Source organism: Homo sapiens, chromosome 7 (genome assembly GCF_000001405.40).
Source record: "Homo sapiens chromosome 7, GRCh38.p14 Primary Assembly".
Taxonomy (NCBI): domain Eukaryota; kingdom Metazoa; phylum Chordata; class Mammalia; order Primates; family Hominidae; genus Homo; species Homo sapiens.
Window position 1 is genome coordinate 50,409,836 of NC_000007.14, and position 12,383 is coordinate 50,422,218.

Genomic DNA, 12,383 nt, shown 5'->3' on the forward strand with positions numbered 1-12,383 from the left:
CCTTCCAGCTCCAGGAGTGGCCCTGCAGGTCCTGGAGCAACAGCCTGGCCCCTGCCCACGCCCCCTCCTCCCTGGCCGCAGGCCCTGGGCCTGGGCTGAGCAGATGGGCCCTGGCAACTCGGTGAATCGGAACTATGGGAAGCAGATGCACCCGCCATGGGTCCCCGGGCACAACTGGAACCTGCTGGGGGAGGGAATTTGCATAATAAGGATAATTTGGTACCAAAACTGTCCCCTGAAGTGAACTGCATGGATCTCGATACAGTTAACAAATTTCACTTCTTCTTTCCCATGTTTTGTCAAACCAACTAGTTGTGACGTTGAGTGTGTGAATTGTCCCAATGTTTCTGTTTCTCTGCCCATGAGTCAGCCCTGGCTTCTCTCTCTGCTTTGCTACCCCCCTGGGCCTGAGGAGGTACCATGCACATGCATATGGGCCTCTCCTGAACAAGGCCACCCTAAGACCTCTCTCTGTGGTTGCGACCACATGTGATCCCAGGTTCCCAGAAGGCCTCAGTGGCTGCGGCCTCCTCTCCGCCACCGTCTCACGGTGCTGTTCCTCCCCAGGCACCTGCGCGAGCTTCCTCATTGTCATTCTCCCTCCAGCTTCCTGTGGGTAGAGGGTGGGCTGGGCCCCACAGTAAGGAGGGTGTGCAGTTTCAGGGTCCCTCAATTTGATTCCCCTTTCAGGGACCTCCTCCCTCTGGGCACTGCCCTGATCCCCACCCTCAGTGGGCACTGCCCCTTGCAAAATCCTCTGTAAATCCCCTCTGCCCACACCCACTTCCCACCTCTGTGAGCACCACGATTCCTTTTTTAAGTTGGTCTCTCATACCACCCCATGGGAGAATGGTTGTGTGTTTTCGTGCACTGATGGGAAATTAAAGCTGACAAGCATGGAGGCAGGGACCCCAAGAGCTGAGGGAAGCTGGTCAGCTGGTCTCCCAGGTCAGATCTCATCTTCAGGAAGGCATCCATCCTCAGTGAGATGTGACCCCAGATGATCCCCCAGCCTCCTCCCAACCTCCAAATCACACCCGATTCCCAGGTTTCCTCGCATCACAGGGCCCTGCTGGTCCTGGGAAGTCTTCCCATGCTTGGCTGCCTGCTGAGTTCTTCTGGGACAAGGCAGAACTTATTGCACCTAATTTTTGGAGCTTTCTCAAGATCTGGTCTCTGAATTCCTCAAGCCCTCATGTCAGCCGTCTTAGGGCTCTCACCCCGCAGTGTATGGGATGTCCACCTCCTCCATTGGACTGTGAGCCTGTGGAGGGCAGAGGCTGGTCTCACACATCCTGAGCCTCCAATAACAACAGAAAGAAGCTTCTGCTGGAGATTCCTTCCCAGAGCCCTGGACTCCCTGAGGTCTTATCTTGCCCCAGTCAATGACGTGGGCCTGAGGCCCATGGCTTTCCCTTTGAAGCTCTGGCCATCTTTCTACTTGCTCCACAGCCAACATCAACTGCCCTCCTCCCCTACTCCCAGAGAAAGGGCCAGACGCAATAGCGTGCTGACCCCTGGGCTTCCTGGGTGCTCCAGGAGGGTACTCTCCTCATCTTAGCATTCAGGCCCTTCTTTTGGACAAAGAACTCCTCCAGGGGACAGGCAGAGCCTCTGGCCCTGAGGTGAATTGGCTGAATCTAGAGAAGGGCTGTGGGGCAGGGAAGGCCGGAAGAGCCCCCTTTGGTCATGGAGGAGTTCAGCTGTGCAGCAGTCGGCGTGGGGGAGAGGGGATTTCCCTCAAGAAAGCTTCTGGGGCTTTTTATTTTCCAATGTAAACATGCTTTTAGTACTATGAATGTGTGTTTGTGTTAATGCTCATTCAAGTGCCGCCCTATATACATAGTTCTGTCCTGTCCCACCAGCATTGACTAGGCCTGACCTTGTCATCCCAGGACCAGGAGCCAGGGTCAGAGACTTGAGAATGTAAGGCCACCACCCTGGAGGAGCTGCGGGTGAAATGGGCAACCGTCAGGCAAGACTGTCCACAGACAAGCTCTGTGCTGCCGACACAGACACCCAGGACCCAAAGGTACACAGGACCCATGGGACCAAGTGCACCTCAGCTGAATCTTGAAAAAGAGAAGGCAGAGAGGGGACAAATTGAATTATACAAAATACTCAAAGCAAAGAAGGCAAGAAGAGTGGAAGACAAACACAAAACAAAACAAAAAGGCCCACACATAGAATAGAGAACAGTTACAAATGTAATCAACATGAATCCAAATGTACCCATAATCTCTTTAAACATCAATAGTCTAAGGACAGCAGTTGAAAGATAGAGTTTCAGTGGATCCAAAGATGTGACCCAACTAGATGTTGTCTATAAGAAATCCATTTTTCATGCCTGTAATCCCAGCACTTTGGGAGGCTGAGGCGGGTGGATCACGAGGTCAGGAGTTCAAGACCAGCCTGACCAACATGGTGAAACCCCGTCTCTACTAAAAATACAAAACTTAGCCAGACATGGTGGCACACGCCTGTAATCCCAGCTACTCAGGAGGCTGAGGCAGGAGAATCGCTTGAACCCGGGAGGTGGAGGTTGCAGTGAGCTGAGATCGCGCCACTGCACTCCAGCCTAGACGACAGAGTGAGACTCCGTCTCAAAAAAATAAAAAAAGGAAAAAATAAATCCATTTTAAGTATAAAGACACATAAGGATTAAAAGTAAAGAAATTAAGGAAAAAATACCATAGTTACACTATCAAAAGAAACCTGGAGTAGCTATACTGATTGATTTCAGACACAGCAGAGTCACAGCAAGCAAAGGCATCAGGGTAAATGGGGGCATTCTATAATGACACGGGGGTCAATTTTCCAACAAGATGTAACAATCCTTAGCATGTGCATGCCTAACAACAGAGCACCAGCATACATGAGGCAAAAGCGGAGAGAACCACACAGAAATCAATGAACCCACTCCTAGAGCTGGAGACTCCAACATTCCCCATCAGAAATGGACAGATCCAGCAGGCAGAAAATCAGTAAGGATGTAGTTGAACTGAAAGACAGGAGTTATTTGGGCAAAGAAAGGCAGCAGACAGTTTCAGGCAGAGGGGGCAGCGTGAATGCGGTACAGAGGCCTGGACACGGAATAGTGCTGAAGGAAGGCAAGGCCGTGTGGCTGGGCTGGAGGAGTGTCCTGGGGGCTGGGGAGTGCCAGACGCCTGGAGAGAAGGGGTCCACCATTCAGCCAAAGAGGTGCCCTCTGAGGGTTGGGGAAGGCAGCAGGAGCTGAGCCCCTGTCCTGACCTTGAAGCTGCAGGGCTGTCATGAATGCATGGGCCCCCTGAGGAAGGGCGGAGAGGGGTGTGAGCACCAATTTCAGGTAGTGAAACTAAGGCCAAGGAAGCAGAGAGCCGTTTTCAAGGTCATAGGGAGTCACCCTCAAGCCACATTTCCTAAAGCCCATTATGCATAATGCAAAAAAGGAGAATGGGGCAAACGATTTGGGAAAAGCCACACACTCTTCCCTCTTTTGGAGATCCACAATGTGCCTTAGCATTTGAAATGCCCTGGGCAGAATAGAAGATGGTTTATTTAATCCAGCTTTCCACAAATATAGTTAAACTAAAAATGTTCCACCTCCCCTCTTCAACATTACCATTAATACGCATGTCACTGTAGGAAGGGAAACACTGTAGGAAATGGGGTCCTGGGGGAACACCGAGAGCTAGGGAGGGACCACAGCCAGCCTGTCCCTGGCTCTTCCCTGGCCTGGCCGTGTTCCTGACCTGATGCCCTCGGGTTGCTAATGTACCCAGCACTGCCGCTCCCTTCGTTCCCTGCAGTACCAGGCCCTGGATCATGGATGAAGGCACAGGCTCGGCTCACACGGTGACTTGGCCACAGTTACGCCATCCCAGGGTGAAGCAGGGTGGCCCAGAACCTGCTCCAAGGTCATCACGCAAGCTGTCTCCTGACTTCTGGAAATTACCCTTGCCCTGAGAGTGGAACTGGCTTGGTGGGAGCCTCTATCTGCTGCTGGGGGATTTCAGTGCTGAGGCTGCAAGGGAGGGAGGGGGTGCCTAAGGCCTTTCTCCCTAGAGCAGGAAGCAGAGAGGCAGGACTATCTGCCTCCTCAGCTTGCATCTCTACTCAGCATTGAAATTCAGGACCTGATATTGGGCCTGGATAATTCAGAACAGATTTGGGTCCTAAGCATCTGTGTGAACCGTATGAAAAGTACCAGCTTACCATTTCTATGTGCTTTCTCATTCAGGCCTGGATGAAAGGTAGCATTAGATTCACTGTAAAATGCTTAGAGACTTGAATAAAAAGGAAGGAGGAACATTAGCATCTGCTGCGTTGGTATCATATAAGTGCTTTTGTCATTCTCACAAGGTGTTATTGTGCCCACTTACAAATATGGGATCCTAAGGCTCAGACAGGAAAAGTAACGTCCACAAAACCATACAATGTTCACAGATCCTTGAAGCCAGGATAACACAATTCACTATAACAAAATCAGTGCAATGCGCCAATATTGAAGTAATATGAGATCTTAATAACATATCTGTGTTTTTAAAATAGAGAAGAAGAAAAGGTATCAGTTAAGTTAATAAATTATCTTTGTTTTCCAAATATTTCCCTACAACTGGATGCCTTTAGGTCATATTCATTTGTATGTTTGACAGTGTACAGACCTTTCTATGTAGAGCCAATCATTTGAAATCATGAAGAAGAATCCTCAAAATGGTTTCTCTTGGGTAGTAAACTCCCTTACAATACTGCATGTGAGAGGTTGCAGTGGGGAGGATAGAATAGTTTTGGGAAAGGGAAACATGATATAGAGATTTGACAATGCACTTCAAAGGCATGCGCCTGACTTTCAACAATGGAACAAGGAAAAGTGCTGAACAGGACTGATAGTTCAGAAGGAAAATCAGTAGGAGAAGTAGGCCGGGCGTGATGGCTCACACCTGTAATCCCAGCTCTTTGGGAGGCCTAGGCAGGCAGATCGTAAGGTCAGGAGTTAGAGACCAGCCTGGCCAACATGATGAAACCCTGTCTCTACTAAAAATACAAAAATTAGCCGGGTGTGGTGGCGGGTGCCTGTAATCCCAGCTACTCGGGAGGCTGAGGCACGAGAATCGCTTGAACCCGGGAGGTGGAAGTTGCAGTGAGACAAGATCATGGCCCTGCACTCTAGCCTGGGTGACAGAGTGAGATTCAGTCTCAAAAAAAAAAAAAAAAAAAAAAAAAAGTAGGAGAAGTAGTATTTTGAGTATTTTGGGTAGAAAAATAGCACATAAAAAGATTCCGTTGTACCCTACTTGTTAATATGTAGTGATTATTTTCAAAGTCTTAGCCAGGTATCAAACAGTTACACAGCACAAGATGTCACCTTCCTGGGTAAAGCAAGTCTCAGTGATGTCAAAAGAATCTCCTCCACAGACCCTGTTCTATACTGCACAAAATCCTTAGCCCAATCTTGGGATAAAATTAAATCTTTCCTGTTCTTGACAATCTCCATGCTTTAAAAGCACATTTATAAATCTGCCAGTAACAACAAAGCCTTGCAGCATTAGCAGGCCCCAGAAGGCTTAATGCTTAACCTAACAGCACACAGTAGGTGTGGAGTAAATGTTTGTGAAATAGTCATAATCCCTCACTTCATATCCCTGATGGCAGCTTTTCTGTTCGTTTAAATATTCTTTAATATGAAGAACGGCTGCAGACCAGGGTATGAGGAATGTGCAACTTCTTTTCTTCCCTAGGATCTGAGAGGGCAGAAAGCTGCTGCACTGAAGCAGCCAGCCATCTCCAGCATTTCCAATGTCAACCAAAAAGGAAAGCCTTTCTCACTGCCAGGCCTTCCTTCAGAAGGGCTCCGGACCCAGGAGCTAACTAGCTTTCCCACTGCACAGATGAACAGAGCATTCCCCACAGTGGACACCAGCACAGTCATGGAATGAGGATTTTTATGGGCCCGACACGTAGAGAAAAGGAATAGAGGAGTCGTTATCCCCACACCTTAGAGAGAAGAATGGGGCCAGGCCAACCCCTCACTGAGGTCCCCCAGCTGCTGGATACCACACCTCTCACCAGCCCCTAGTGCCCTGGGAGCAGCTCAGGCTCCTGATAATGTGAGCCGTAACTCATAAAGAGCAGGATGATGCTGAGCAACCAAAAAAGAAAACACTCTGTCATCCTAAGGAGTACTTGGTCACTGATACACACGAGGTACACACAACCCCTGCAGGCTCTACTAAGTGTGTGAGAGAGTAAATGTAGTCATTGGAAAGGCACACCTCCCAGATGCACCCAGCGATCCTACTTCCTGATTGTCTTCTCAGAGAAACCGAGCAACCATTTCACACCTGGAAGGAACATCATGACGCCAGAACCTGCAGCACAGTGTGTTTCTTTCTTTCCCCACATCAAGGGTCTACGTGGAATAGTGCTTTTCCACAGAGTAGCTACTAGCCACACATGGCTATTTCAATTTACATTATAATGAAATAGAATTGAAACTTCAGCCCTTCAGTTGTACTAGCCATATTCCAGGTGTTCTATCAGCAGATGTGACTGTACCCACCATATTGGACAGCACAAATGTGGAAGCAGACGTTTCCATTGTTGTAGAAGGCTCTGTCGGGAAGTGCTGATGACATGCCAGTACCTGCCTTGCTCCCTGGAGCTCCCCAAGGTCTAGCACAGTGCCTGGCACAAGGTGAGGGGGGTGCCCAGAAAAGATTCAATTCCCTCTCCAAGTAAACCATTCATTCCCAGCTTCCCCAAAGAAGTCTTCCCTGGGGTACTAAATCCTGAAGGCTGCCTTCAGTATTCGAAGCATGCAGCAACTTTCACTTCTTCTTTTTCGACCTGGCCCTTCACTCTGCCTGAGAGGGAAATGTCACTTGCCTGAGGACATGTGCTTTTTCTCAAGCAGGCACACTGGTCCCTTTCAAGGTGTGGGCTGACATGCTGGCTCTCTTCCCTGTATGCCGAGACATGCTTGGGATCTCCTAGCTCCACACTCTGTCTCTCATGAGTCTGAGCCCTTTGGGTTTCTGTGACTTCCAGTCCCCTCCTGCCAGTAGCAACCTACAAAACAGAAACCGAGACGTGCAATAGCAGGAGGGTGGGATTTCCAGCAAATAGGGAAGGACTCACTACGCCCTGCTGGTAGATTGTTGCAGGATCATCCTCCTCTCAGGAGAAAAAGAGGAAAAAAAGGCAAATCACTTTCCTCTTGCTTCTGCTTCTCCTAAATAAACTGCTTGCCTAATTTCCTTTGCAGTTAGAGAAATGTTCCTTGTGAAAGCTGCTATTTCCACACATTCACACACTGTGCAGATTCCGGGGCTTCTGGAAGTCATTTGCTTTTCCAGGTTCCCTCTCTCTGTAGCTGATTCTGTCCTTGTACCTCCACTTGAAAAGCAACCCCAGGGCAAGTCAGCCTGGCTGAAGTCTTCAGATTCTTTTTTCAGTGGAGGGGTGCTGGCCTCCACTGGACTCTAGGCACAGGCAAGACACAGCTCTGGAAGGTTCCATCTGAAGGCTGGGGATGTCCCTGCATGGCCCCCATAACCATGCCAGCCAACACAGCCACCTGAATGAGGCAGGCTTCTCTGGGTCCCTACTGCTAGATGCAGGATTTGAGAAAGTCTGACCACTCCTATACTCACGGACACTTAAATAAGGTCAAGTCCCTTTCCTAATTCCAAACTATGCTTGGATAGTTTGTGTATGTTGTGGTGCAGGTGGGGAATCTATATGGCCAATAATAGCCTCGCCTGCTTCTTCTATAAAAGCAGAGACTAAAAAATGCTCATTGTAAGAGGAGTAGGAAGGATTCGATGAGATAAGAGATGTGAAGAGAGCACTTGGTAAATGCCCAAGGTGATCAATTCATTATCAGGCATGATTGTGAGAATAGTTTGCTCTGTGCTGAGGCCTTATGAATACCCTTGGGGGTAACAGAATTCTCAAAAACATGTCAGCTGAAAGAACGAGTCCTTACCTCTCTCCCACATCTCCACTATTTCATTGTGTCTGGTTGAAGCAAGAGAGAACAGTTCACTTAAAAGAGATCAAAAGCACTTTTCACATAGAGGCAAGCATCAGTAAAGCAATTCTGCTGGAAATCTCCCAAGTAATAAATACAGGCCAGAACATTTTTAAAGTTCAATTTATTTAGTATAAAAGTTTTTTTAAAAAGTACAATATATTGAAATAGGAAAATAGAAAGTGAAGAAACTCAAAATTTGAGCTTTTGGGCAAATGAATTGACTGAATATTTCCTAACATCTAAGTTGGAATTCCTTAAAAAGCTGTCAAAATTTAAGGTGGTTTTCATGGAGGGATGGCTAAGACCGCCTCCAAGGCCTTCAGGGAGCAGTGGGGAAACCTAAGAGATGCCCTCCACCTAGTGGTGAAGGAACGCAAGGCTGGCCAGAATGGATGTAGTTAACCAATGCCATTTCCAGGGAGGAGGCGCTGCACCACTGGCCCCTGCAGGCCTAGCCCAGCTCCTCGTGGGGAGAGGGAGAAGCTGAGCCCAGGGCCAGCAGGGAACTTGCCCAGGTCACTTACCAAGTTAAGGGTAGACACAGGGGCTGCCACCCAGGTTGATTCTTTGCTTAGGGCTTGACTTCAAAATTATCCTTAAAATCAGCTATTGCACCTACTCACATCAATTCTTGCATAAACCCTGCTAACATGCAGGGCAGGGATATCTCCCACACCAGAGGGGCTGTACAGAGACCATCACTCTGTGGCCCAGAACCCTTCTGGCCTGGATGGATGCTCCTGTCCTACTCTGGCATGTGGACCCTCCCTGTCTCAGTTGAGCTTCGCCCAGGCCTGAACAAGGGGTGTAAGAACCCTGCATGTGCTAAGAACCCAGCTCAGAATGCACTTTTTCTCCCCCGCTGGCCTCTTAACCGTGGCTGTCGCTGCTGTCTGCCACCTGCACGTGCCACAGCTTGAGAGGCCGTCCTGGAGAGGGTGGAGGAAAGAAAACAGCCCTGGAAGCCAAGAGACCTGGGCTCAAATTCCAGACCTGCAAATTGTGAGTCAGGTGGGCTTGGGCATGTTATTTACTGTCTGCAAGCCCTCATGTTTGCCTATGAAGTTAGACGATAATAATCTCGGCTTTAAAAGGAGGCTGCGAATATGCAATGAGATGGCATAGGAATGACATAAGGCCCAGCACATGGACGTCTTGGAAAAAGGCAGCTCCCTTCCCTGGGCCCCTCAGCCTCCCATTCACTCCCACACCCTCAGTGCTACTTAGATCTTGTCATCTACTTATCAAAATTGACTCACTTAGAAGTGAGTTGGGCTCAGCTTTCAGACAGGGAGGTCCAGGAGCAGCACTGTGGCGAGGACACAACTGAGGGGAAGACAGGCATTCCTCACAGTCTCTAGACCGCACCCCTCTTCCACACGCTTTTCTTTTCCTGTTCTCTCTCCGTGAAACAAGGCATCTTCCACCAGAAGCCTTTACTTCTCTTGTGATGAATCACTTGTATCTTTGAATAGGCAACTAAATTCAAGCAAATCATTCAGCACTGTTGATACCAGTTTTATTCGTGATAGCCAAAAACCAGAGACAACCCAAATATCGATCAACATGGATGGATAAAAACCATGACACATCAATGCAATGGGACACTACTCATCAGTGAAAAGGAATGAATACTGATGCATAAAATGACATGAATGAACTTCAAAATAATTATGTTCCATTAAAGAAGCCAGACAAAAAAGATTCTTTATATAAAATACTAATAGATGAAAACTATTGTCTAGGTCAAGAAAGCAGTTCAGTAGTTGCCTGGGTTGGGGGAAGAGCCATAGGTGGGAGAAGAGAATTTCCAAAGGACACAAAGGAATTTGGGGGTTATGCATGTGGATTTTATTTTCATTGTGGTGATGGTTTTATCTGTGTATATATTTGTTAAAATTTATCAAATTTAAACAGGTAGAGTTTATTGTGTCTCAATTATACCTCAACAAAGCTGCTTTAAAAATTTAGGTATCTGACTGGGATGAAATCATTTTGAAACTGCACTTGACTTGAGAGCTTTACGGAGAATGTTGCCAGATCCCCAGGAGGCCTTCAGAGCTGACTCTGCAAGGCCTGAACATCTCAGGAGAACCCTCAGAAGCTGGGGTACACAGCCATGAAGCCAGGGTAGGCAGCCAATCTGGACTCACAGATGTTGTGCCAGTCAGAGCACATCTGGGGTAGCCTTTTACTCTTAATTGTATTTAGTTAATGTTTGAATTATGGCTCACTTCAGTTTAGAAATTCTTTGAGATTATTTTTGAATATGTAACAGTCCCCAATAGCAGGTGTGTAAGAAGTTACATTTTGGCTTTCTTCCTTTTTTATTTTAATGAATTATGTTAATTTTACCTCCAGGCCTTGTCATATTAAGATAGCAGAAAATCAACCTCAGCAATCCCAGGCCCCCCCACTAAGGCTGCCAAGCTCTCAGGGCCTCACACAGGGCTGGGATCCAAGAGTCCCCTGCACCAGCTGCCATCTGTCCACTGATGATGACCTCTCCTTGGTCCTTCTGGCCTTGCTGGCTCTTTTGCTCGGGGCCATGCTGAGCTGAGGAACCCTTGGTGAGGTAAAATCGGTTCTTCCTGTTGTATTGTGGCCCCAGCTCTGAAGCCCTGTCATTCGTTGCCTTAGGGCACTGCCAAAAAGCTACGACAGTGGATCAGTCCCCCTCTCCCCTGCCCCTTACCCTTCTCTCTTCCTCCTCTCTCCCTCCATCTCTCTCCTCTCCGTCTTTCCCCCACCCCCTTTCTTTCTCTCTCTCTCCTTCCTCCAATCCAAGGAAGCATTGCTTTTGTCTGAAGGGAATCCCCTGTCCTCTCCATATTTTCTTCAGGCACCCCTTTTTCTCACATCTTATTGTCTTTATTAGATTTAAGAAGCCTGTCTTAAATATCCTCCCAGAAAAGAAACTACAGACTTAGCTATCTGTTATGGGAAGGGAAAGAAGAAAAGAAAATGGGAAAAATAAGTGAACACCTCAAAAACTATCTTTCCCCATATGTAAGAAAATATAATTTTAAAAAATCATTACCAGAGCTAATATAAAGTAGAACAAATGGTTAAAATGAGGCAAACACACACACATACACACGTTATATGTGTGTATGTATCTATATCTATAACTCATCTCCTGATTTAGGGTTCTAAGCTACGTTACTACTTCCATGGCTTTCCTTTTAGGAGAATACAATGTACACTGCACTTTACTCTGAGAGAAATGTCTTCCTTCATGGGACTTCAAATAAGAGACCTTGCATATTTGTAATGCTTTAATTCCCAACCTTGCCTGCATGATAGGATTGAGTGGTAAGCATTTGCAATACAAAAGCTCAGGACCCAGGCTGAACCAATGACATCAGGTGTCTCGGGGAGCTTAAGGGTCTGTTGCTTCCAAGCTGCCCAGGTGCAGCCAGGGCTGGGAACCACTGACATAGGTGGTTGATGTCCTCAGCCGTCCCCCTCCCCAAGCACTGCCTAACGGGGTTCTCCAGGCTTTTACTTGTTAGACAACTCAAGGTAGCCTGAAGACCTGATGTCAAAAAGTAACACAGAGGTCAATCCTGGCCCAGACATTTGGCTCTCAGGTGATCCGCCTAGATCCAGAGATAAACCAGGAAGCCAGCCTATGGAACAGTCATCCTCCCACACGACCAAGCACTGCCGAGACTGTGGTGCTCGGTGAAGGGAGAGCAGGCTCTGGGAGCCGCATCACTTCCACAGGCAGTCTGCCACCCTCCCTGGACTATGACTTCCTTGCAGGCTCCAAGTCTCACTCATTTTTGTACCTCCACTGAAGCTGGTAGATGTGAAAAAAATATTTACTTAATCAATGATTGTGACCAAGAGATGAGACTGATTCCATGTGAACACACAAGGAAGAACTGGAACAATGGATGAAAACTAGAGAAAAATTTTCCACAGTGAGAAATGGCTAAAAGATGCCTGGGAAGGTACTGAATCCTCTGTCATTGGAGATATTCAAGCCTCCTCATAATCACTGGAATTGGTAAGCATCCTGCAATTAGAAGATTCCAGCTCTCTTCTATTCTAGCATGAGTTTTCTTTTTGGAAACATGTGAACATCAAAGCATGCTGATGATCTTTGGTAATTCATGGACAAGCATGTTGCAGAATAGAATAGGCACTCGGCATTCACAAGCAATTTGGGCCAGGGGAGATTTACAGATCCCCAGCTTCACAAATACCACCACAAATACACCCTGCTGAGATCCTGAGTAATGAGGAGCAGAGATTAGAGAAGCTGATGGCATCTTTTATACTAGGCTCCCCTTTTAGGCTGAAAGACTGGCCAGCACACACAACATGCCCATAAAATCCAGGCCTCAGCACAGCTAAC

At 47.6% G+C, this 12,383-nt stretch overlaps 5 annotated features.

Annotated features, from left to right (window-relative positions):
- Positions 1–501: an enhancer, noted in NCBI's record as "H3K4me1 hESC enhancer chr7:50477534-50478034 (GRCh37/hg19 assembly coordinates)". NCBI's record gives its function as "activates a minimal SCP1, AML or CMV promoter by ChIP-STARR-seq in naive H9 embryonic stem cells {active_cell/tissue: H9 hESC(naive)}" and the evidence as "EXISTENCE:reporter gene assay evidence [ECO:0000049][PMID:30033119]".
- Positions 1,177–1,236: an enhancer, noted in NCBI's record as "active region_26005". NCBI's record gives its function as "activates an Ori minimal core promoter by ATAC-STARR-seq in GM12878 lymphoblastoid cells {active_cell/tissue: GM12878}" and the evidence as "EXISTENCE:reporter gene assay evidence [ECO:0000049][PMID:35858748]".
- Positions 1,737–1,816: an enhancer, noted in NCBI's record as "active region_26006". NCBI's record gives its function as "activates an Ori minimal core promoter by ATAC-STARR-seq in GM12878 lymphoblastoid cells {active_cell/tissue: GM12878}" and the evidence as "EXISTENCE:reporter gene assay evidence [ECO:0000049][PMID:35858748]".
- Positions 6,764–6,843: an enhancer, noted in NCBI's record as "active region_26007". NCBI's record gives its function as "activates an Ori minimal core promoter by ATAC-STARR-seq in GM12878 lymphoblastoid cells {active_cell/tissue: GM12878}" and the evidence as "EXISTENCE:reporter gene assay evidence [ECO:0000049][PMID:35858748]".
- Positions 11,039–11,572: an enhancer, noted in NCBI's record as "OCT4-NANOG hESC enhancer chr7:50488572-50489105 (GRCh37/hg19 assembly coordinates)". NCBI's record gives its function as "activates a minimal SCP1, AML or CMV promoter by ChIP-STARR-seq in primed H9 embryonic stem cells {active_cell/tissue: H9 hESC(primed)}" and the evidence as "EXISTENCE:reporter gene assay evidence [ECO:0000049][PMID:30033119]".